General features: G+C 37.7%; 1 protein-coding gene across 4 annotated transcripts in view, besides 1 other annotated feature; it reads left to right on the plus strand.

Annotated features, from left to right (window-relative positions):
* The window catches only part of EGF (epidermal growth factor), a 100,884-nt gene that overhangs the window by 39,213 nt on the left and 36,280 nt on the right, over window positions 1-25,391 (plus strand). For 2 of the 4 annotated variants that reach the window (NM_001963.6, NM_001178130.3), the window contains exons 6-13: window positions 7,217-7,342; window positions 8,772-8,894; window positions 9,768-9,890; window positions 11,078-11,203; window positions 12,306-12,442; window positions 16,876-17,024; window positions 22,608-22,712; window positions 23,917-24,140. In NM_001963.6, the coding sequence (NP_001954.2) occupies window positions 7,217-7,342; window positions 8,772-8,894; window positions 9,768-9,890; window positions 11,078-11,203; window positions 12,306-12,442; window positions 16,876-17,024; window positions 22,608-22,712; window positions 23,917-24,140 (1,113 nt within the window). The remainder of the gene's footprint in view (window positions 1-7,216; window positions 7,343-8,771; window positions 8,895-9,767; window positions 9,891-11,077; window positions 11,204-12,305; window positions 12,443-16,875; window positions 17,025-22,607; window positions 22,713-23,916; window positions 24,141-25,391) is intronic. The other 2 variants (NM_001178131.3, NM_001357021.2) reach the window with 1 other exon arrangement.
* Window positions 7,026-7,195: an enhancer, noted in NCBI's record as "experimental_71901 CRE fragment used in MPRA reporter constructs". NCBI's record gives its function as "activates a minimal promoter by MPRAs in K562 erythroleukemia cells, with activity observed for both the introgressed and non-introgressed 4:110880362 variant alleles {active_cell/tissue: K562}" and the evidence as "EXISTENCE:reporter gene assay evidence [ECO:0000049][PMID:34662402]".

The raw sequence follows: 25,391 nt of genomic DNA on the forward strand, positions 1-25,391 counted from the left end.
CTGCCCTGATACCTACACTATTATACAAATCTCAGAAATAGTGTGGGAACATTTTTGTACACATCTTAATGACAATTATTTCAAGTTCAACTTCTGGGGATTTTACAACTACTTTATTGCTCATAGATATTATGTTGTAAAAGGTCCAAATATTTTTGCTTTTTTCTGTATTCTTTAAATGTAGATTTCAGTTTTAAGCTATAAGAGAGCTTCAAAAGCATATTCTTTGGGAAATGAAGGTTATTTATTACTAACACTGTGTAAAATGCTTTACATTCATTTCATGCACAAAAAGATGGCTGAATTTAATCCTGTGAGTTCATGAAGGATAATTGTCTCCACCTGGAAATGTACTTGCTTCTGGAAGCAATTAGTATAGCTAAAATTGCCAAGGTGGGAGTCTAATTCATTTTGATTATTTTGTTGCTGGAGTGTCTACTATAAAATCTTGGTTATTTTGAAACCACTGGAAAAGAATCGTCCTAAAAAGATAAATATTTAGTTCATATAATTTTAAATTATTAGTTTAAACACATAAAATTCTGTTATTCTTCACGGAAATATTAGTAAAATATGGATTGCTATCTTTCTTAGCATCATTTATAGTTATTGACATTTTCTTAGTGACTAGAGTCACATTTACAAGGATACATGCCATTGCAGCAAGCATAGGATTGGTTTGGGGCAAAGCTGGGTTTGCCCTGACACCAAATGGCTGCCATTTGAAATCTCTTTTAAATACTTGAAATTGCTCTTTATCATTTTTATGTTTTCTTTCTTGCTGCTGGCTCTCACATCTTGCAGGTTTTCACATGCCTGGCTGTGGCCTCTGTTTATTTTCTAACCTGAGGCTTTTTCTTGCCACTTGTTTGTTCAGGAAACCAGATCATTAGTCCTATAGAATTTTTCACTTTCTGGATTTTGCAGATTATATCCCCGTGTGTCATTTAACATGTTTCTCTAATTTCCTTGTTACCTATAAACTGGTAGTTTAGGCTTAGAAATCTGATCAGAATCAGATTGTTTTCAAGAATGCTTTATGGGTGGCACTGCAGGTGGTTCTGTAAGCTTCCCCTTTGTACCACATTAAAAGGCACATGGGGCTAGTTCTTATTCTTTTTTGTGATGTTCAAAATTAATTAGCATTTCAGAGGTCACCAGCCTGGTCCAGCCACTGCAAGTTCCCCATCAGCCTTTTGCTTAATTGTTTTAGAAGCTATTGATTATCATTGCCTGGAGCCATTTTTTATTAGAGGCTCAAAGCAATGACATTCTAATTCTGTCACTGTTTATGCATATATTAGCTGGGATTCTTATACAAAGAGGAGCCTTTCCAAATCAGATATATGATTGTCCTGAGGAGGAGGAGCTTTTATAGGAAAGGTAAATTCAGTGTTCGATCCTATTTCTTAATTTACGTGTTTTCAAAATAAAGAGTTAGTGTCCTAACCTTCCAGTATCCTCCAAAGGTCACTTTTCTTTAATCATCTCTATAAAGTCATGGATTTTTAAAAATAATTGACATTTGTATTCACTGTAATTATTACCATTTTGATACTCAAATTGTACTATCTTTCTCTGGAAGGAACCCTGACCTGGAGTTTCTAGTCTGTGTGGGAAATTACCAACTGTCTTGCAGCCGTTGACACTGGCAGTCTGGAATGCAAGGTTAAGGCTACATCTGGGATTAGTAAGAAAGAACACTGGACTCACGCAGCCACTTCTACCATTGGTGAATGTGGGTGGGGTGCGGTGGTGACAATGGTAGTGGAGGCATATACACCTTGTCTTTTTAAAATGTATTTTTAATTATGGATACATAATAGTTGTACATATGTCATACCTTGTATTTTCCATCTTCCTGCTATGGGCAACCAAACTGCCAGAAATGAGGATACAATAAGAAAAGACTCAATGGGCCTGAAGGGCTCTTCTAAGAGTTAAAAGCATTTTATTTATTTATTTATTTATTTTGAGACGGAGTCTCGCTCTGTCACCCATGCTGGAGTGCAGTGGCATGATCTTGGCTCACTGCAACCTCCGCCTCCCAGGTTCAAGCAATTCTCATGTTTCAGCCTCCCAAGAAGCTGGGACTACAGGCACATGCCACCACACCTGGCTAATTTTTGTATTTTTAGTAGAGATGGGGTTTCACCATGTTGGCCAGGCTAGTCTCCAACTCCTGGCCTCAGGTGATCTGCCCGCCTTGGCCTCCCAAAGTGCTGGGATTACAGGTGTGAGCCACTGCGCCTGGCCAAAAGCATTATTTTTAAAGTGCTTTAAGTTTGTTGATTCATTTACTTTTTAATTCCTAAAAGGGTACAGATGGATATGATACCAAGTGGCTAAATTCTGGCTAGGTGATTTTTTTCTTTTTTTACTGTAATTAGGAATTCCAATAGCACAGAACGGCCATTCTTGTATTTTCTTCCTTGTATTTCTATTACTGACAAGAGTAAACTTCTATACTGTTCAGTTTGAGAAGTTTTTTGAGGAAGTTGAGGCAGTCATTATTGAGAACTCATTAATGATGAAGACAATAAACAAATGAAGCAAAAATATAGCCACGTTTTTATAGACATTTCATAAAACTAACATATATTTTATGTGCATGTTTATATTTATGCAAATGCATAAATATAAACACACACACATAGAATTTTACGTATCTGGTAAAAAGAGGGGGATTACAGTCAAAGGGCTTGGAATAGCATCCCAGTTCTACACTCTATTTTCTATGTGATCCTTAACAAGGCACTATTTCCTAATCTGTAAAATGGAAGATGATACTTGCTCTGCATAGCTCAAGGGCTTGTTATGAAAATGAAATGTGATAATACAAATACTTTACAAAGTGTTATTCAAAATTTTTGTTATGTGCTAAATATTGGGGATGCCAAATATTTAGTTATGACTTCAGAATGACCAAAGTTAATGGGTTTGAATGGAAGAGACTAGAAAGGCTTTGTTGATGAGGTGAGTCTTACATGGAGTTTGAGGTAGACAAAGATGTGATCAGTGGAAAAAAACAGGAAACGGAATCCCAAGTGCATTGTTTCAGAACTGGGCCAGGGTAAAATCTACAGATTCACTGGGCTATAGTAAAGCTCATGAGTGCCTGTGTGCTAGCCAGGCAGTTATTGAAGGGGCAGTTGGTGGTGGACATTAAACTCCATGATTAGGAGCTTTAATTGATCTCAGAGGTAATTAAGCCTCATTGCTCAGCTCTGAGAAGGAGTGTTCTCTGAGGTCAGCAGCAGCATTCTCAGTGCTGGCTTTGGCCTATTTTGAAGCTAAAGAACAGCAGAAGATTAAGGAGATTAAAGAAAATATAACCCTCAATCCTCTGTGTTTTGCCACCACCTAAAATGACCTTTTAAAGTGTTTAGTGTCTGAATTCAGGTCACGTCATCAGCACAACTAGGCAGAGGAGAATAGTGATTTCTTTCCTGCCTATGTCCATTATTGAAGAGTGATTGTGTATTGTTAATAAGCATCACTAAAAGCCATCAGCAGCATGGTATAGTGGAAAAAGTACTGGCTAGCATCTTGTGACAAACTGTTTTGAGTTCTAGCTCTAAGGTTGATTGGAACTTTGAGGAAAAAACAAATAGGGAGTTAGGTTGCAGGTGACATGATCACAGGGTTTTTTTGTGGATGTATTAGATGTTTACTGGATGCCTATGTTGTAAAAGGCACCGTGCTAGGTGTTACTGGGACTATAAATGTGAATAGGGCACATGCCTTATCCTCAGAAGTTTATCAATGGAAAAAAGATGCATATACATAATTGTGGTGGTGACAATGGGGATGATCATGATAAGAACAGATACAAATCCAGGTGAGAGGTAGTAGAAAGGTATGGGAAAAAAGAAAAATATATACTGGATCTAGAAGAACAAAGCATTTTCTACACCTGAGACAATAGTTGTTTTCTTCATTAGACAGTTTGATTCTCTGTTACCATACTATAAGCAGTAATTAAGGTTTGATAATCTTTAGAGGTATAAACTCAGAAGAATTTTTCACCAACATTTAATTCTGTTTATAACTATAGAATTTTTTTAAAAGAGGGATCTCAGTGAATATCTATTTCAACAAGTTTATTTTGTGAATTAGGAAACTTAGGTCAAAGAGATAAAGTGATGTGCTGTAAGAGGAAGAACCAAGACAAAATTCAGTTTCCCTGATTGGTAATCCAGTAATCATCCAGCATGCTGAGTTTGGAAAGATTTTTATAGGGCAAAGGAAAGAGTTTTTATAAGAAGCATAGTGTTTCAATTTTTTGTTATCTCAAGAAAGTGTAGCATTTCAGTGCTATTAAAAGGCCAACTCAAACCTTCCTGGATTTTTGTTGTTGTTAACTTGTACAGTTTGTAAAAATAAAAGTTAAACACAATACTGCTTTTTAAAAAGAAATTTAAAGTGGATGAATTTTGTCTCCAATATTTACAAGTTTCTAATTTTAGTCATTTACTTTTAAAATTTAGGCCATTTTATTTTTAATTTTGCTTAAAATTTTGATAGTTTAAGTGAAGCATATAGAACAAGAAAAATAATGTAACTATACATGTATAATTGGCATAAAAATCATAGGCAAGAAATAAAATTTTTGGAATCAATTATCCATAAGACCATTCAATGTAAATCTTAACTGATTTAGCAGGTAATACTGCAATGGTGTTGAAAGTTGACAAGACTGATTTTGCATTTAATTTTGTAAAGAGATTTGAAAAAACAGGTTCAAAATAACTAAGGAAATAACACAGACTAGCTAAAAGTAATTATTTGTAACTAAGATGAAGGTGTAACGTTTCACTAGTACATTAGGCCAGTGTTTCTGAAAGTGTGGTGTGAAGCAGCCTCCTGACATCATAATCACTCCTGATTCTGTAAAAATGCAGATTCCTGAGCCTCTGATTTACCAAATCAGAATCTCTAGAGGGTGGCATACTCTCCGGTTATCTCAATGTACACTAGGGACATTTTCAAGGGGGCAAGAATATGTTTCTACTGAATCTTACTGTTATTGGTCATGTCTAGTGATGTTAAATAAAATTTATGGGAGGCAACTGATTTAGACTGAGCTCCTGCAATAGGCCCCAACAGACCAAACCAAAATGAAGTCACTCATGCTAAAATTCCACATCAACACACCAAAACTAACTTGTTTATCTGACCCCCTGACGGATCAGGAGAGAGATGATAGCCAAATCCCCAAACAGGTCAGCTTTAACTGGTATCATAAGGAAATCCCATCTGGTTTAACCTTTACGAGGAAAGTAACCTGAAGTAAACTGATGTTAACCAATCCACTATATATATCATGCTCAAGCAATATCACAAAAGTGAATGTGCTGCCACAGCCAGTGTAGCATCTGTCTATTTTTAGACAAGATGTTGCCCAATTCATGAATCCCAAATAAAAGCCAATTTGATCATTTAATTAAATGTGTTGAAATTTTATCTTTTGAGATTTGAAGTAGAAGCAAATGGGTACAGACAAAGGAGACTTCTTTATTAGTAGATAAACAGATCAGAGAAACCAAGCCTATTTGGAGAACAGTCTCAGGCCCTCTGCCTGCTTTGCTCAGGCTCTTGCTGATTTGTTTCCTGTGTCCTTCCCAGCAATGGTGGTGTTCTCAGCAGTCCTTTCCTTAGGTCCTCAGCTTTTCCCATGATACATCAGCTCTAGCTGATTTTAACAATGCCATGGCTTCAGAATCCATGACCCCAATAGTTTTCCTTGGCCTTCACCTCTTGCCAGGCCTCTGGCCTCTGTATCTACCTGCATTCTAGGTATCTGCCCTTACGCTCAAGCTTGCTACTGTATTTCTCATAGTATTTTACAATGGTGCTATTGTTTTTAAAATGGGCAAAAAATAAGGTGCAAAAGAGACAAAAATCTCATTAACTTTTTGGAAAGAGATATGCAGTTGTCCCCCAGTATCCGTGGGGGATTGGTATCCCCCAAGATACCCAAATCTGCAGATGCTTAAGTTCTAATATAAAACGGTGTATTTGTATATAACCTAGCCACATCCTCCCATATACTTTAAATCATCTCCAAATTACTTATAATACCTAATACAATGCCTACATCACTTCATTCCTGTGAATTCAACATAGTGCTTGGCATGTGGCAAATTCATGTTTTGCTTTTTGGAACTTTGCTTTGTGGAATTTTTTTTCCCAAATATTTTCAGTCCTAAGTTGGTTGAATCCACAGATATGGAGGGCCAACTGTAGGTGTTACTAGTTTAGCCCTTGATTCTGGCTCTGAAAATCCCAATGGTACAAAATTGACCACTTATTCAATATAGCTGGCTAATTCAACCCAAACACCCAACTCGCTGAGCAGATTTTACTGTTTATTATGGAATATTTGGAACACGTGGGACACTGGCAGCAATAACTACAGAAATTTGAGGAGCAGAGATATGGCAATGGTATATATTGAGTCTGAAAGATGTTCATTAAATAATGATGTTAAAAACAGCTAAATAGCTTACATATCTAACCTATAAATATTACACTTAAAAAGTATTCTTGGCCAGGCACAGTGGCTCATGCCTATAATCCCAACACTTTGGGAGGCTGAGGTGGGCAGATCACTTGAGGTAGGAGTTCGAGACCAGCCTGGCCAACCCCGTCTCTACTAAAAATACAAAAATTAGCCAGGTGTGGTGGTGTGCACCTGTAATCCCAGCTACTTAGGAGGCCAAGGCAGGAGAATCGCTTGAACACAGAAGGCTGAGGTTGCAGTGAGCCAAGATTGTGCCACTGCACTCCAGCCTGGGTGACAGGGGGAGACCCTGTCTCAAAAAAAAAAAAAAAAAAAAAGTATTCTTAGGTTTGAATCTGTTTTCATTTCCTAAGCAGATTATTTCATTTGCAGAATGTGTGCTTTTTTGTGATAAAAGTACATTAGAATGAAAAAGCTAATAAGTAGTGTTTAGTATTCGCAACCTAAGAAATGACATCTCCAGCTAATCAGGATGCCCAATCCTGAGAGGTTTTGGAGAAGTAATACAATTGGAGAAAAAAGTGGGCTTCGGGATGCTGGGGAATCTGGGCTCTGGCTAAGTTTGCCTCCGTGAGAGATGCAGCTGTAGACGTTGTAGGGAGGTAAGACCTCTTAAGAATCAGGAAAAGATTTAGCAGTGTCCTCTGTCAAAACACGGCCCCACTCCAAATAAAGCATCTTCTCTTTTAGAGCAGAAACTTTGCAAATTGAGGAAAGGAAACTGCAGCAGCACTGTGTGTGGGCAAGACCTCCAGTCACACTTGTGCATGTGTGCAGAGGGATACGCCCTAAGTCGAGACCGGAAGTACTGTGAAGGTAATGACTGGAAGTACTGTGAAGGTAATGGAAGAGTCGCTGCTTGAGGGGAGGAATGCTCAACTGAGCCAGCGGCTTGTCTTCAGTGGGCCAGCCAGAGACTCAGTGGAAAACCAACTTCAAGTCCATTCTCCCCGTCCCCCACACAACCCCTGAAGACTATTTTTTATTTATTTTTTCTTGTTTGTAAAACCTTTATAATACTTTCCTATCTTCATATCTTGTGTTTCTAGATCAAACACTGAGAGGATGCTTAGGGGTTGATATAAGGCAGGGATTCTCTAAGTGGATTCTACCAACCTCTGCGTTTGTGTGCAAAATTTCAGTATGTGTACATTTTTAGGGGAGTGGTTTCATAGGGATCGTAAGAGTCTCAAAGAGTCTGTGACTCCTATCTTATCCCAAGAAGATCTAGTAGGAAGCCTGGGAAACTGAGCCAGGCTGGTTTGTCTAAGAATCCTCCTGTTTTGAGATTCTGGACCAAGTGCAACGAACTCAGGAGAAATACTATGTCCTTTTTCCTGGAAGGTGCAGTAGTTTAGTGATGAAAAGAATCCAATGGCTGCAGCACACATACAGTGGAATTAGCTGGGGTGAGACCTCAGGTAAATCTAGCATCTGCCTGTTAATTATAACCCCCTGCTTACATGGGACCAATGGGTGAAAGCCATGGCATAGAGATAGTGAGCTGGAAGGCTGGGGCTTCAGCCAGAATAAAACTGCTGGAGAAGGTTTCCACATTTAGGGAAAGGGCTCTGGTCAGTCTTGAAGGTTGAAGAGCACAATAGGAAATGTCCTAAGCTTGTAAAGAGCTTTCAAGAGTCCCTAACTGAAATGGCATGCTATATCTTTTCAAGGGAAATAATACTACCTTTTTCCCAAGGGTTATTCTAATATGAAAATCTGTATTTGAAAGTATAAGCTGGGCCAGGCGTGGTGACTCACACTTGTAATCTCGGCACTTTGGGAAGCCAAGGCGGGCAGATCACTTGAGTCCCAGAGTTCAAGATCAGCCTGAGCAATGTAGCAAAACCCCATGTCTACAAAATATACAAAAATTAGCTGAGTGTTGTGGTGTGCACCTGTAGTCCCAGCTACTCAGGAGGCTGAGGTGGGAGGATCACTTGAGCTTGGGAAGCAGAGGTTGCAGTGAGCTGAGATCGTGGCATTGCACTCCAGCCTGGGTGACAGAGCCAGACTCTATCTCGGGGAAAACAAAAGCATAAAATGTGACAGAATAGAAATGGCTTTTATCATCATTTAATTGACTTATTTTACCCTTTGCTAGAGTATGGAAAACAGACTTTCCATGATCAATTACAGCATATACAAGTGTGAGATACCCTGCGTTGTGATGACTTATTAGTGATAGCACAATTTATTTTCAAAAATAGCCATTTGAATGTATTGTGCTGTTGTCATTGTGCAGATGTTAATGAATGTGCTTTTTGGAATCATGGCTGTACTCTTGGGTGTAAAAACACCCCTGGATCCTATTACTGCACGTGCCCTGTAGGATTTGTTCTGCTTCCTGATGGGAAACGATGTCATCGTAAGTTATAGCAACAAGTATTTATTGCATTAGTTTTCTTCATTTTCAATATGTTTCTAAGGTGGCTATGATCTGGGTTGGTGATCTTCAATCAGCAGTGTGCATCATAATTACCTTTGAGTTTTATTTTGTTTGGCTTTTTAAAACATGGATGACTGCCAGCCTGGGCAACATGGTGAGACCCTATCTCTACTAAAAATACAAAAAAAAAAAAAACTTAGCCAGGCATGTTGGCCCATGCCAGTGGTCCCAGCTACTGAGGAGGCTGAGGCAGAAGGATCACTTGAACCAGGAGGAGGAGGCTGCAGTGAGCCGAAATCAAGCCACTGCCCTTCCTGGGTGATGGAGTGAGACCCTGTCTCAAAAAGCAAAACAAAACAAAAACCATGGATGACTGGACTCTACCCCAGACCTATCAAATCAGAACCTCTCAGGTTGGGAAACAAATCATCTATAATCTATGTATTATAGGTATTTTCCTGTTTCTTTGTCTGTATTACCTTATATTTCATTGTCTATCTCTTTTTTATTTTAATTTTTTAATTTTTAAAAATAACTATTGGGTACTACATTTCATTGTATATCTCTAAAGGATAGGCATGTAAAAAACATAATCATGATACATTATTGTATCTAAAAAACTTAACTATAATTCCTTCCTATCATTTAATATCCAGTTAATTTTCAGGCATAACCACAATACCATTGTTATGCATTAAAAAATTAAGGCTAGGCACAGTGGCTCACACCTGTAATCCCAACACTTTGGGAGGTCAAGGCAGGAGGATCACCTGGCAATATTAGCAACTGATTGCAATAAATTTTTGCAAACCCGATTTAACACTAATCTTGACCTTGTTCTTTATTAATTAGAACTTGTTTCCTGTCCACGCAATGTGTCTGAATGCAGCCATGACTGTGTTCTGACATCAGAAGGTCCCTTATGTTTCTGTCCTGAAGGCTCAGTGCTTGAGAGAGATGGGAAAACATGTAGCGGTGAGTTTATTTGCTTTATTTACCTTTTGTTTGTTTGAAAACATACATTTGCTCAGTGACATCTAAAAATTGATCTTGTTGTCAAGGAAGAATTGATTTTCCAATATTGTATACTGAAAGATATTGTTACAACAGATTAACATAGATTTAAATTTAGTATTTTTGGGTTTTTGGCTTTTTTGTTTTTGTTTAGACAGCATAGCGTCTAACTTATGAGCAAGGGCTTTGAGGCTTGACAGCCCTGAGGTAGCATTACCAGTTACTAGCAGTTTTGATTTTGGTCTAGATACTTGCCCTCTCTTGGTCTTTGTTTCTTCAACTGCAGAGATACTGATACTTGCCACCTTGATTAAATGAGACTTCAGATGCAGAGTGCTTAGTCTGTTTCTTGCACCTAATAAACACCTCTCTACTTTTATCTTCATAGAGACTTAAGTATATAGATAACTGGATGTAACTCAGAATTAGCAGAAGAATTGTGTGTGTGTTTTTGATTTTCTAATAAAACAAAGCCAAGCAGCTAAAAATGTGTGAGAGAAAAAAATTACTAGGAAGAGTTAGACCAGCTGCCAAACTCATCAAATGGATTTTTCATTCTAGACAGCTGCCAGTGCACTTGCTCCTGAACTCATTGGTAGAATAAGAGGACAAGGGCCACTGGAATGTGAAGGATTAACATCCAAGATGTTGGGTTATAGGGAAGGAGGGTAGTGTGACATTTTGATTTTTATCTCTGAAAAATAACCTTGATTGCAGCCATATGAATGATTGTGGAAATGTTTTAAAAAATCAACATATGGGCTGAGTGCAGTGGCTCATGCCTGGAATCCTAGCATTTTGGGAGGCTGAGGCAGATAGATCTCCTGAGGTCAGGAGTTTGAGACCAGCCTGGCCAACATGGTGAAACCCCGTCTCTACTAAAAATACAAAAATCAACCAGGCATGGTGGCGGGTGCCTGTAATCCCAGCTACTTGGGAAGCTGAGGCAGGAGAATTGCTTGAACTTGGGAGGCGGAGGTTGCAATGAGCCGAGAGTGCCATTGCACTCCAGCCTGGGTGAAAGAGTGAAACTCCATCTCAAAAAAAAAAAAAAAAATTAACAAATGGTTGACTCGCCCCCATCCTTTGATGAAAAATAATTATATTTTGGATGACGTAGCATCATTACTAAGCAATTGTTTTTGTAGGTTGTTCCTCACCCGATAATGGTGGATGTAGCCAGCTCTGCGTTCCTCTTAGCCCAGTATCCTGGGAATGTGATTGCTTTCCTGGGTATGACCTACAACTGGATGAAAAAAGCTGTGCAGCTTCAGGTTAGTGCTGTGGTTGTCTGGAACTGTGTCCCTGAAAAAAAATTCATGAAAATCTTTTGTTTAGAAAGATGGAAAGTTAACTGCTTATGGTTTTGTATTTTTGAAATGGAAAAAAAGCAAATCACATTGTAAATATGAATAATATGAGTAATAACAATATAACTAGTAACCAGGCTTTTAAAGACTATTTCTATTCTTAATTAGCATCCGGCAAAGATTTGCCATAATATCAGATAGAATATTTTTAGTATATGAGAAAGTCATGACAAGAATAGTCTTAAAACACTTTATAGTTAAGAGGCATTTAATAAGTATTTGTTGATTGATTTGATTTTTATCTCTCTACTGAATATAATTATAACACTGACAAATTCTGTCCTTTTAATGTCAAAATTCAATATAAAGTTGTACGCTTCAGCTATTTTTTTTGTCTTCTGATATTACCTCTCTTGCATCCTTCAACAGCCATGGAAATTCTAGATTTATACCAAATTGATTTAATATCTCCTGAAGGTTCATTATGTTTTAAACATATAATGCTCATAATGCTATCATGTAATGATGATCCTGTATACCTTGCCCTAGTGAGACCCCAATACTGTTAACTTCTCAGGGCCTTCATTAATATAGTGTAATCTAAATCCTTAAAATTATCAAGGGTCTTGCTATTAACTCAAATCATTGTGCCTCCCTTTAAGAAGTGCCCAGGCCAGGGAAAGTTACTTATTCGGACATGAAAGTATACAATCTACTAATATTAGTGTTTCAGTATGTGTGAATCAAGAAGATGTATAACCCTAAGACTTGCATCATTTAGCTATGGTGTTGGTTATTTAACGCTGTCTCTTTCTGTAAGTAAGCAGCTTTTAAAAGCAAATACCTGGAGAGGGAAGAAACCAGAGATGAAATTCTGGCAATATGTCACCTCCTGGAAGAGGACATCCTCTTGCCTGTCTTCACCTATACCACACTAGAGGGAAATTAAGAAAACAAGTACTGTAGAAATTGGGTAAAAAGGTACAGTGAAAGGGAAGAGTCAGAGATGCCTCTTAGTTTCTAAGGCACGTTTTAAATTCAGCCATATTTGAAATTTGGTTAACAGGACCACAACCATTTTTGCTGTTTGCCAATTCTCAAGATATTCGACACATGCATTTTGATGGAACAGACTATGGAACTCTGCTCAGCCAGCAGATGGGAATGGTTTATGCCCTAGATCATGACCCTGTGGAAAATAAGGTATGGTTTTGTTACTTGAACAGATGTGGACATGCTTTAAGGACAGAGTAGAGGATTTTATCCTAACAAATGACCTGGCCTACTTGAAAATCCTCTGCTAAGTTCTGAATGATTAGGCACAGAACAAGTTAAATATAGATATTGGAGTAACACTTGAGAAATTTTAAGGACTTTTTTGCCATCATAATGCTACCCTAGTCCTTGCTACGATTAGCCGTTTTATTGGAAATGATCACACAGTTTAGTTTTAGATTTTCAGTTTAGTTTCCTCTTTGGAGATGAGGATGGGAGACTAGCACAGTGTCATGCATATAGAAGGAGCTTCATAACCAGGTTTTTTATTACTTGCTGGTAGTGAGAGGAGTGGGAGGTTGAGTTTGGGGCATAGGAAGTATGGATTAGTAATTTGTGTTTTACATATGTCTTTTGAGGGAGGAGATTCAATGACCTCTTAACCATGAAAATCAGGGAACGTAAGTTTTATAGCTCATGTGAGAATGGCAATCTAACTAATAACATTATTTACATAAACATTTTATATAAGTTTTGTGTGTAACTTAGAATTTCTGTATCAGCTGGCCATTTGATCTCTAATTTCTTAGTTGTATCTGTGCTAGGTTAGAATGTGCTTGAAATGATGTTACAGTGTGTTTTGGAGATTAATCACCCAATAATGATACATTTATATAGTTATTAATTACCCTGCATAATTATTTAGTTATTACTATGTGGTACATTAATTCCTAGACTTTCAAACTTTGGGCTTTTGTTTCTTCCTGATTTGAAGCAGTCTGGTAAATGGCCAAAAGAAACAAAGTGAAGCCAATTGATTCTATATTTAATAGGTATGGATTGGTAGCCAAATAGAAGTATTTTTGCAAATTAAAGTTTTGCAATTGAACACTAGCAAACAATTCTTTTCCCTGACCTGAATCTATATGGTTCCATAGAACAGTTACAATAACAGAAAAAAATAATTAATAGAAAAAAGGCAGTTCAAGATTCATTTATTACCAAACTAGTTTTATTCCTGCAGAATCAGTATTCTTACAACAAGTGAATGTGGAGACCTAGAATGAATTTTAAGTCAGGTGGCTGGTTTTTGTTTCTTGGGTTAATTTTCTTATTTTCTTGCTACTCAAATTGTGATCTTTGAGCCAGCAGTGTCAACAACACCTGGAGATTATTAGAACTGCAGTCCTCCAGGTTCCACCCCTGACCACTAAATCAGTATCTGCATTTTAACAATATTATCAGGTGATTCTTATGCACATTAGAGTTTGAGAAGCACAGTGCCAGTGGAGTGAAGTACCCCTATTTGTATTTATGAAACATAACCTTTTCTATTTCATTTAGAAAGAAGAGTAACCCATTATTTAACGACTTACCATTTTCTGAATAGTCTCATTATTGATTGTAAGTTTATGTACACATGTGTACTCACAGTTAAAATTCTACAATGCTTTCATTAAATTATCAACTGACCCATATCTTTAAAAAAATATATATATATATACATTTTAAATTTTTATAGGTTTAGGGGTACAAGTACAGTTGTCTTACATGGATAGATTGTGTAGTGGTGAAGTCTGGGCTTTTAATTTACCTATCACCTGAATAGTGAACATTGTTCCCATAGGTAGTATTTCACCTGTTACCCCCCTGCACCCTCCCACCCTTGCAGTCTCCAATGTCTGTTATTCCACTCTGTATGTCCATGTGTACCCATTGTTCAGCTCTCACATATAGGTGAGAACATGCAATTTTTGATTTTCTATTTGAGTCATTTCACTTAGTATAATGCCTTCCAATTCCATCCATGTTGCTGCTCACAATGATTTCATTCTTTTTTATGAGCAGTATTCCATTGTATATATATGACACATTTTAAAAATCCACTCATCCATTGATGGACACTTAGATTGATTCCATGACTTTGCTATATGAATAGTGCTGTGATAAACATACAAGTGCAGGTGTCTTTTTGATATAATACTTTCTTTTCCATTGGGTAGATAGCCAGTAGTGGGATTGCTGGATTAAAAAGTCATTCTATTTTTAGCTCTTGAGAAATCACCATACTTTTTCCCTAGAGGATTGCAAATTTACATTCCCACCAGCAATGTATAAGAGTTGTTTTTTTCTTCACATCCATGCCAACATCTGCTGTTTTTTAACTTTTTAATAATAGTCATTCTGATGGGTGTAAGAAGATATCTCATTGTGATTTTGATTTTCATTTCTCTGATGACTAGTGATGTTAAGCATTTTTTCATATGTTTGTAGGCTGCTTGTGTGTCTTCTTTTGAAAAATGTCTGTTTATGTCCTTTGCCCACTTTTTAATGGGGTTATTTGTTTTTATCTTCTCGGGTTGTTTGAGTTCCTTATAGATTCTGGATATTAGCCCTTTGTGAACTGCATTGTTTGCAAGTATTTTCTCCCATACTGTAGGTTATCTGTTTACTCTGTTGATTTTATCTTTTGCTGTGCAGAAGCTTTTTAGTTTAATTAATTCCCATTTGTATATCTTTGTTTTTGTTGCATTTCCTTTTGAGGGCTTAGTCATGATTTCTTTGCCTAGGCAAATGTCCAGAAGAGTTTCTTTTAGTTCTTCTTCTAGGATTTTTATAGTTTCAGGCTTACACCTAAGTGTTTGATCCATCTTGAGTTAATTTTTTATATGGTGAGAGATAAGAGTCCAGTTTCATTCTACTGTTTATGGCACTCCAATTTCCCCAGCACAATTTATTGAATAAGATATCCTTTTCCCAACGTATATTTTTGTGGACTTTGTCAAAGATCAGTTGGTTGTAGGCATATGACTTTAAATCTGGGTTCTCTATTCCATTCCATTGGTTTATGTGTCTGTTTTTATACTAGTACCATACTGTTTGGGTTACTACAGCCTTATAGTATAAAGTCAGGTACTATGGTGCCTTCAGCTTTATTTCTTTTTGCTTAGTATCGTCTGTGCTCTTCAGGCTTATTTTTGGTTTCATGTGAATTTTAGGATTGTTTTTTCTAATTCTGTGAAGAATGATGTTGGCAATTTGATAAGAATTGCATTGTATCTGTATATTGCTTTGGGTCATTTTTAAACAGTCTTATGGAAATTCTTGTACCTGTGTGATAGGCTGCATACTAGACTGTAAAAGAACTTCGCATTGGCAAGAAATCTTCTGTTGAACAAGATGGATGAATTAAAATGAAATTACAGTCATGCATCACTAATGGTCTAGCTTCTTGCTCCTAGGCTACAAACCTGTGCGGATGTTACTATGCTGAATACTGTAAGCAGTATTGTAACACAGTAGTAAAAATTTGTGTATCTAAACATAGAAAAGGTACAGTAAAAAATATGGCATAAGAGATATTTTAAAATGATACACCTTTATAGGGCACTTACCATGAATGAAACTTGCAGAACTGGAAGTTGCACTGGATGAGTCAGTAAGTGAGTGGTGAATTAATGTGAAGGCTTAGGACATGACTGTACATTGCTGTAGACAAACACTGAACATTTAGGCTACACTAAACTTATAAGAAAAGTAATTTCACTATGACATTTTGAATGCTACAATGTCACTAGGTGATAGAAATTTTTCAGTTCCATTATCATCTTACGGAATCACCATCGTATATGCAGTTCATCATCAACCGAAATGTCATTATGTGGCATCTGATTGAATATAAGATTAGAGACTAAAGGAACTTTAGCAAATACCTAGTCTAACTTCCTCATTTTTACAGTTGAGAAAATTGAGGTTAAAGAATTTATCCAAAGCAATCAAGCAAATAAGTGACAAAACTGGGAACCAGTTTTGACCTGCAGTGACTAAGTATCTCTTGACTTGCAGTGAAGTGGGGTGCTACAGACTGAGCCCAGCTTGTAGCCCTCATTAATTGCAAATCATTGCCCCCTTTCAGAAGCCACAGTAGTTCAAGCATGATGGCTACGTCATTGACCAATGATCAAGGGTTAATAAATTACCAATAGCAGTAGCAATATGTGCCAGATACATGGCTAAGGAGATCTATCTATCTATCTCTCTATCTATCTATAGCAATAACAATAGCAATAGCAATATGTGCCAGATACATGGCTAAGGATATATGTATATTTATATCTATATACATCTATCTATCTATCTATCTATCTATCTATCTATCTACCTACCTACCTACCTACCTAATAAGATTGATATTATTATCCTTATTTTACCGATGAGGAAACTAAGATTCTGAGACATTAAATAACTTGCTTAAGGTTACACGTATCTGGGAAGCAGCCTAGTTCGAATTTAGTTGCAGGTGTGCCTATCTCCAAAGTCAAGCTCTTAACACCCTGTACAACCTAAAGACTAGTGCCATTTGTATATATTCCACATTAGTTTTAAAAAAAAATCAGAAATGCCTGTGTTCTCTTTTGTAGATATACTTTGCCCATACAGCCCTGAAGTGGATAGAGAGAGCTAATATGGATGGTTCCCAGCGAGAAAGGCTTATTGAGGAAGGAGTAGATGTGCCAGAAGGTCTTGCTGTGGACTGGATTGGCCGTAGATTCTATTGGACAGACAGAGGGTATGTTTTCTGCTTCAGTTTTAAGCTGTGTGAGATGGGAGTGATGGGATAGGTAATACTATTGGCTTCATCTTCCACTTTGAACACAGAAAAATGTTGCTGGGCATTTGGTTGGGATTGGAGAAAAGAGGCCACCATTGCGGTCCACACTCCCTCCACTTCCTCCTTTCATCAAGATTGCATCTGTGTGCGTGGGAGGATTTTGAAGGCCAAGAAAGTAGCCTGTGTTAGGAAAAGAAAACCAAACACTGCATGTTCTCACTCATAAGTGGGAGTTGAACAATGAGAACACATGGACAGAGGGAGGGGAACATCACACACTGGGGCCTTTTGGAGGGTGGGTGGCAAGGGGAGGGATAGCTTTAGGAGAAATACCTAATGTAGATGACGGGTTGATGGGTGTAGCAAACCACCATGGCACATGTATATCTATGTAATAAACCTGCACGTTCTGCACATGTATCCCAGAACTTAAAATATAATAATAAAAAAAAAAGTAGCCTGTGTTTTGGTAGTTCAGGCTTTTGTTATCAGGGAAACTCAAAACCTGTCTGAATATAAGCAATAAGCATTCTCGGAGCATCTGCTATGGAAATAAGACTTTCTCCGAAGTCACATGGGAGATACAGAGGAGCCTAAGATGTGCTCCATCTTTTCAGTCGGTTCTTAGTTTAGCTGGGGAGATAAGGTATATTTCCCCAGCAAAATAATTAATGCAAATTCTTGGTCTAAATAGCAGTTCAAGAAATGTCATAGGGCCACACATAAATAATTGCCAAATGACAGGTGTACACTCCCAAAGGGAGCTGCCATGGAATGAGCTTCGGCATGCAAGTGACAAATCTTGGACTAGAATGTTGACTCCCTGTTAAAACAAGCATGAAGGAGGGAGGAGAACTTCAGCTGGAGTTGTGAGGAAAGTGCATGAGATAAGAGAGATGCTCTTTGTTTCCCTACGGTGGGAAAAAACAGAACCAGAGTGCAGTTGTGAAACCCCACTCTCAGAGCTGCAGGAAGGGCTACTGTACTTGGTGTGTATGCAGCCTGCGTGAACCTCAGAACTGAATGGCAGGAAGCAGGAAGGAAATGGCTGTATCCCTTCTGCGTGCGAATGAGATCCCACTTCCTTACAGAACTATAAGAGAAGCTGCTAACGATAGACCCCTCACAAAATAATACTAGAGATGCAATGTGCTCTGAGATATATTCTCAGAGTAACGGAAAGCCAGAAAGTGAAATGGTGGCCATCCTGAACATCTGGTACCAAAGCAACCAAGTAAAAGTAAAAGAAGGGAGAATGAGGGTTTAACCTCTGTGAAATCAGCAGTTTCAACACAGAGGGAGAAGTCCCAGGGAATGAATGGGTTTCTATGCTTGGGGGTAGGCATTTTGTGTCCTAGAAATATCTCTTTTTATCAGGATAATCCATGGGAAACAGGTTTTTAAAAATCTGTTGATGTGCTTTGGGAGGCCAAGGTGGGCAGATCACAAGGTCAGGAGATCGAGACCATCCTGGCTAACATGGTGAAACCCCGTCTCTACTAAAAATACAAAAAATTAGCCGGGCGGGTGGTGGGCGCCTGTAGTCCCAGCTACTCAGGAGGCTGAGGCAGGAGAATGGCGTGAACCTGGAAGGCGGAGCTTGCAGTGAGCGGAGATCGCACCACTGCACTCCAGCCTGGGTGGCAGAGCGAGACTCCGTCTCAAAAAAAAAAAAAAAAAAAAAATCTGTTGATTTGTTTATCTGTATGATATGGTTATCAGTTATCAATAGTATGGCCATTTTACATCCAAGGTGAGCATATTTTCTTTCATTCATTCATTTGTTCATCTAATCATACCTTCATTTCTTTATTATTTGAGTATTTATTTACTGAATAGTTGCAATGCACCAGATACTGTGCTTTATATCCATGACACTATTAAATCCCCAAAGGTAAGTTTTGTTATCTCCAATTTAAAGATTAAGAAAATTGATAATTGGAGAGGTAAAATAACTTTCCCAAGGTCAAGCAGTCAACAAGTACCATGTGGAACTGTAATTGGAACTCAAAGATGGCCATTTGCAAAGCATATTCTCTTAATAGTCATAAAGATGTACCACCGCCCCAAGCCAGTGTGGATTTAACATATGGTTGACTCAGAGTCATGTGACAAATTAAAATCAACTTCAGTTGTAATAATTATAAAAATCATAATAATGACCTCCTCTGTGTTGAACCTACTTAAAAGAATATTTTAAATGTCGGCTGTGTATAATAACAGAGCTGTACATGGTTGTTCTCAGGAGGGTAAACGATGATCAAAATGGCAGATGTCAACCACTCTCGGGTCCACTAAGGATGCCAAGTCTTCTCATATTTCCCCACATTCACAAGGGACCTCTAATTTTAACAGTGTTTGATTAATAGCACCATGGTACCGACTGCAGAGGCAAGGCGTTCAGGAGATAGACAGGCACCACTGTTTCCTGGAGAATCAGACCCTAAATTCCCCAGTTCATTGGCTTCAGTAATAACAAGCCCTTCTTAAGTCCTCCTGGCTCTAAAGGCAGCTGCTAAAAGAAAACCTTTAATTTATCTGGAAATGAGAGGTTTATGGTTTGGAAACCTTGATATTACCTAGAAATTGGATGTAAATAACTGAGATTCCAATCTCATAATATTAGATCACATGGTAACTCTTAGCCAATCAAAAGGGGCAAAGTGGGATGCTTGCAGTTCCTTTTTGGCCTAGGAAAAGACAGATTCAAATTAACATCTAAATGTAGGAAGGAAGCACATTGAAAATTCCAATGGTAATGCTGTTATTTAGTATCAAGGAATACTGATTCCTAAAGTCAATTGCCTAGTAAAGAATCAAGAAGGTAAAAATATAAGCTATCTATTTATTCATTCTTTTGAGGTAACAAAAACTAATATGAGGTAAAAAAAAAAATCACTCTTCTAGGGTTGTTGATGGACACCTCTTACCCTAGAAGGAGGGTGAGTTTTTCTCTTGGAGGATCTCAGTGACACTGGGACAATTAGATAATGGTTAGAGAGAGAAGGACACACCTCTAGATTAAAGGTGATGCTTGAACTCCCATGAACTCAAATATCCCTGCTGGTCTTTGGTTTCTCACTACCAACACTGGAGTTTGAGATTTGCTCTCTAGCTGAATCAAATAGAAGTATATTAGGTGAACACCTTGGGGGAGCTTTAAAAGTAAATTCCAGCGATCTTGCCTTGAGACAGCTGCACAGTCAGGAGCTTATGTCGTTCTCGTCTCATCACTTAATTCCTGCCCGAAACAGAATTTAGAGATGATGTCTCTCATCTCTAAGATGATTAGAGATCATCATGAGATCAGAAGTGACAGTTTCATCTCCCCTGGTCACAAGCAAGTGGCCTCAGAATTTCTTCCCTCCCACCAAGGGAAGAGGCACAGTGACAGTTGTGTCTGAGAACAGAACTTGACACATTAAGTTCAAAAATATCTTCCACCCAGCAGTATCCTTCTTATGACCACTTCATCCGGGAGTAAAATTATCTTTTTAAAGTGGCACTGGAGTAGAAATGGTTTCAAATTCTCCACTGCCTTTAGTTGGTAGTTTGCAAAGTGTTTCCAACCCAGCATAGTCACTGAGCCAGTTTTACCTTCACCTCTCTTCTGCATACTGCCTGTGAATAAGGCCCTGTGCATAGAGCACTGTGCATGTAGTCCTGTTCCCTACACAGCACCTAGAAAATAGTTGGTGAACCAGCCACCAGAGAAGGTCTCCTTAGCATTCTGTAAAACCGGGAGGAGGGAATGGCCCTACCTTGTGTTTCTAGGCAGGCTTGTTTCATGCAGACATTGCCCTCAAGAGCAAGGTGAGAGGCCTTTAACAGATGTTTATTGAATGAATTAAAGGTGGTTATATATTCTGGTTTGCAGCAGGGAAACAGGGAAAGCAGGCAGTACATTGGGAAAGGGAGGCTCTTCTTAGCCCTATTTATATCCTGTCTGCCTGTGGTCCCACCTGCTGCAAGAAGCTGCTGATCGTCCCTTGTTTGCTCCTGAAGGGGGCAGGGATGCTATAGAGTCATGTTTAGCATTTAAATTCATCCAGTTTTCTCCATTTCTTCTGCTACTGTTTTATCTCCTCACCGTCATCTCCTGCCTGCCTCGCCCTTTCACACTAAAGCCACAGCAAACTTTCTAAAGTGCAAGTATAACTGCCCCACATTCTTTAGGTCCTGTACTTTAGAACTTGTATATGTACATTCCCTTGCTTAGGGTACTCTTTCCATCCCCACCCACCTTTGCCTGGCTGCCTGCTTCTCATCTTCGTTTGTTATTATCTTCAGGAATCCTTCTCTGATCCCTGCTTGGCTGGGCTACCCACTCTGTCACCCTCCCTGAGTCTTCCAATTACATTCTTTACATCCTTCTTTTCAGCATGTGCTTTCATTTGCTGTGTTATAATCCCCTCTCCCTCTTTCCCCTCTTACTTCCCCCGACCTCTCCTCCTTCCCTTTCCCTCCACCTTTTCTTCCCCTCCCCGTCCAGTCCACCTAACCCTTTCTCTTCCCCTCCCACCTCTGCCTCTCTCTCCCTCTGTTCCTGTTGAACTATGAGCTCTATAAGGACAGAGACAGGGCTTTATTTACTATTGTATCTCCAATGCTTAGACCAATCCCTGACACACAGTTGGTGCTCAGTAAATATTTGTTTGACAAATAAATAGAAAAATCAGGAAATAAGAATTTTCTACCCTGCCAGATTCCATTGGGTTATTTAATGTAAAGATTAGCAAGTAATATTTCAGTACCATTGGCCCTGTTTATCTACAGCTTCCACATCTGAGGATTCGACCAACCTTGGATCAAAAATATTCAAAAATTAAATTAAATTAAAAATAAGAATACAGTCATAAAAAATAATACAAATAAAAACCAATAACTTATAACTGTATTTACATAGCATTTACATTACATGAGGTATAAGTAATCTAGAGATGATTTAAAGTGTACAGGAGAATGTACATAGATTGTATCCAAATACTGTGCCATTTTATATCAGGGAATTGAGCATCCTTGGAGAGTTCTGGTACCAATCCCCCACAGATGCCAAGGGACAATTTTACTCCCATTTGTCTTAGAATTAAATGGAAGAAAATTAAAGCCAATGTAAATCTCCACCTACTGTCTCTGTGCTGGCTTGTCTCCCTCGTCTTCATGATCCCATGAGGATAACAGTCTCTTTGCTTCTGGCTTCCATTGGTTTCAGCAGGAGATTGGAAGTTATAAAGAGAATGTCCTCACCCAGCCACTGACACGATCCTTTTACCTTGTCCTGTCATTGTGTATTTTCATTACCTGGAATAAATATTGGGATGCTAATTAAAAGTGTTTACAAATATAAAATTTGTGGGCTTATTGCTGCTACTTTGTTTGTGGGTGGGGGAGAGAGAAAGAGTAAGAGATAGGGAGAGAGAAACAGAAATAGGAGCTGGTTTAGAATGCCTATCTTTGCATTTCAGAAAGAGGAGAAAGGAGTATTTTTGTTTGAAAAGTAAAGGTGTTATAACAAACTCCCTTATTTTGCACATATTTTAGGAAATCTCTGATTGGAAGGAGTGATTTAAATGGGAAACGTTCCAAAATAATCACTAAGGAGAACATCTCTCAACCACGAGGAATTGCTGTTCATCCAATGGCCAAGTAGGTATTTGTAAAAATAAGGCACTGCTCTGCAGAGGTCATGTGACAGTTCATGGTTGATATGCTAGTGTCCAAAACCAGAAACCAAGAAAATCCATGCAATTTGTTCAAATCTTCAGCATGAATTCCTCATGCTTTTAATGTCTTGATTTTCTATTCTTGTATAATAATTTTATTGTTAATATGCTCTTTTAAATAAATTCAGTTTGTTTTTGAAAGAAAAATGCACTGTAATTCATTAACCAACTAGACTCAAGCTCATTCATCTACTTTCTTTAAAAATTTGCATTGTTGTTTACTGAGCAGAAAAGGATATTTGGATTATATGACTTATAGATTCTGTTTAGAAAAATCACAAGATATAGGTCATTCCTAGATTTTAGATGACAGAAAACAGAAACTGTGAAAGGTTAGAAGACTGTGCTGTTAATTGTGAGTTAGTGACACATTTTCATTTACAGATTAGAGATTTAAGGACAATAAAGAATTTCTTCCTAGTTGTTAAAAAACAAAGATAAAAACCAACCCTATTTTATTTACACTGGAAATTTCACAATGATTTATGGGAGATAATATATTGATAGTAGTTGATAATTGATTTGGAGCCAGCCAAATGATTAAAACTGTGAGAACGTAACCATTTCTAAATAGGCCAATAAAAATTATGAACCATATTGACTTCAAAAAAAATGTGCCCAGCACCTGATTTATGGAAGTTGAAATTAACTGAGTTAATAGAGTACATTGCATAAAACTGGGTAACAGATAAATATGATCTTTCCTTTATGTTGTAGTTTTACAAATGCAGTGAATTTTACATATGCATAACAGAAGAACAGGCGAGCAAGATTTCATTGCCTTTTTGCAGTACAAAATGCTAATTCAAGAATATTTTACTCAAGCCTATTTACTCATGACTATTTTATTAGTCATATATTGCAATTTTTAAACCAATTTCTTTTTTAATCTAATGATCTGAGCTTTAATTCAACATTTCTTTTCGAAGATGCTTTACATAGACAAGTTAATTGCTCTGCATTTCAAAATTATTTGCCGAACATACAGCGCTATCTCTTCTTCTGTATTCCTTAGTGTACCACTTTAGTATATCATGAGGTAATTTACATTGATATTTTCAATGATGAAAGAACAGAATAATTTATTTCATGCAGATATTATTTGTTGTGTGCTTTCTTGATTAAAGGAGATTATTCTGGACTGATACAGGGATTAATCCACGAATTGAAAGTTCTTCCCTCCAAGGCCTTGGCCGTCTGGTTATAGCCAGCTCTGATCTAATCTGGCCCAGTGGAATAACGATTGACTTCTTAACTGACAAGTTGTACTGGTGCGATGCCAAGCAGTCTGTGATTGAAATGGCCAATCTGGATGGTTCAAAACGCCGAAGACTTACCCAGAATGATGTAGGTGAGGCTTTGGGATGGGCGATTTTTTCATCTTGACTGAGTGTTTATGAGTGTTAAATACAAAATATGTTTACACACACACACATACCACTTAGCCGTATGGGTGAATATGGAATAGAGACAGACTTCTCCAGGGAATCATGAGCTGCAAAGCTTACCTTAACATTGGAATACGGGGTAAAAAATAGTGTTGCGTAATCATTTCTCTTTCTGAGAAGTCCCAAAATCAGAATGAAAATATTAAAATTTTCTAAACTCCTTTAGGAATAAGAACTTGGTTCAGCTGTTTTCATTTCTTATGTTTTAGAAAAGTTGTTTCACAACAGTGATATTATAGGCAATTTTAGGCATGAATGAATGTCAGTTGATAACTTGTGCAAAGATTAATATAGTTTCCTCCCCTATTATTTTCAGATTTTACATGGGGTGTCATATATTTTCATAAATATCTTTAAAACATTGTAGCTCATGCCAGCTGTTAAAAGAAGTACAAAATGGCAATGAAATAAGCAGTGGGAAATTTATTTTGACTCCAGGAATGTACAAAGACAGTATTTAAACTGGGCCATGTGGTAAATAGATGATGACAAAAGATTATAAGCCTGCAAAAATTGGCCTTTGTATGTTAGTACTACCAGGATATGTTGACTAAACTTAAATTCTGAATTTAGTAGAGGGGCATTGAATGTTCTTGCACATAAAATGTATATGTTAAGATTGGCATCTCTGGATAGCTGCTTAGGTAAAGTATAGGAGTTCGATTGGAATTTGGAGAGAAGGAAATCTGTTAGAAGCCTATAGTGGTTGTCCAGGCAACAACTGGTGATGGTCTGAGTTTGAACATTGTCATTTAAAAATGGAATGAAGGATTATGATATTAAAAATTATTGTGCATAAAAAATTAAGAGGATTTTGTAACAGATTGCATATAGAAAATGAGAGCCAGGGAAGTGTTGAAGATGCTTTGGAGAGTTAGAAATTGGTTGGGAAGATGAAAAAACATGGTTTCTCTCATTTAGGAAGAAGCTAACCAACTAATAATCTGTATAAGATACCTATTTTGCCCATTCTCTTTGGCTTAAGATAAGTATAATTTAAAATTTTATGTATTTATAAGATTCTCTAAAAATTAAAGATATACTTCACAATAAGTGATATGCTTATGCACAACCTTAGACTTTATCATCCTTTTACTTCAGGGGTATTTATTGACACATTACAGGAACTGAAGATACAGTGGAGGGTAAAACAA

This window comes from Homo sapiens, chromosome 4, assembly GCF_000001405.40.
Source record: "Homo sapiens chromosome 4, GRCh38.p14 Primary Assembly".
Lineage (NCBI taxonomy): Eukaryota > Metazoa > Chordata > Mammalia > Primates > Hominidae > Homo > Homo sapiens.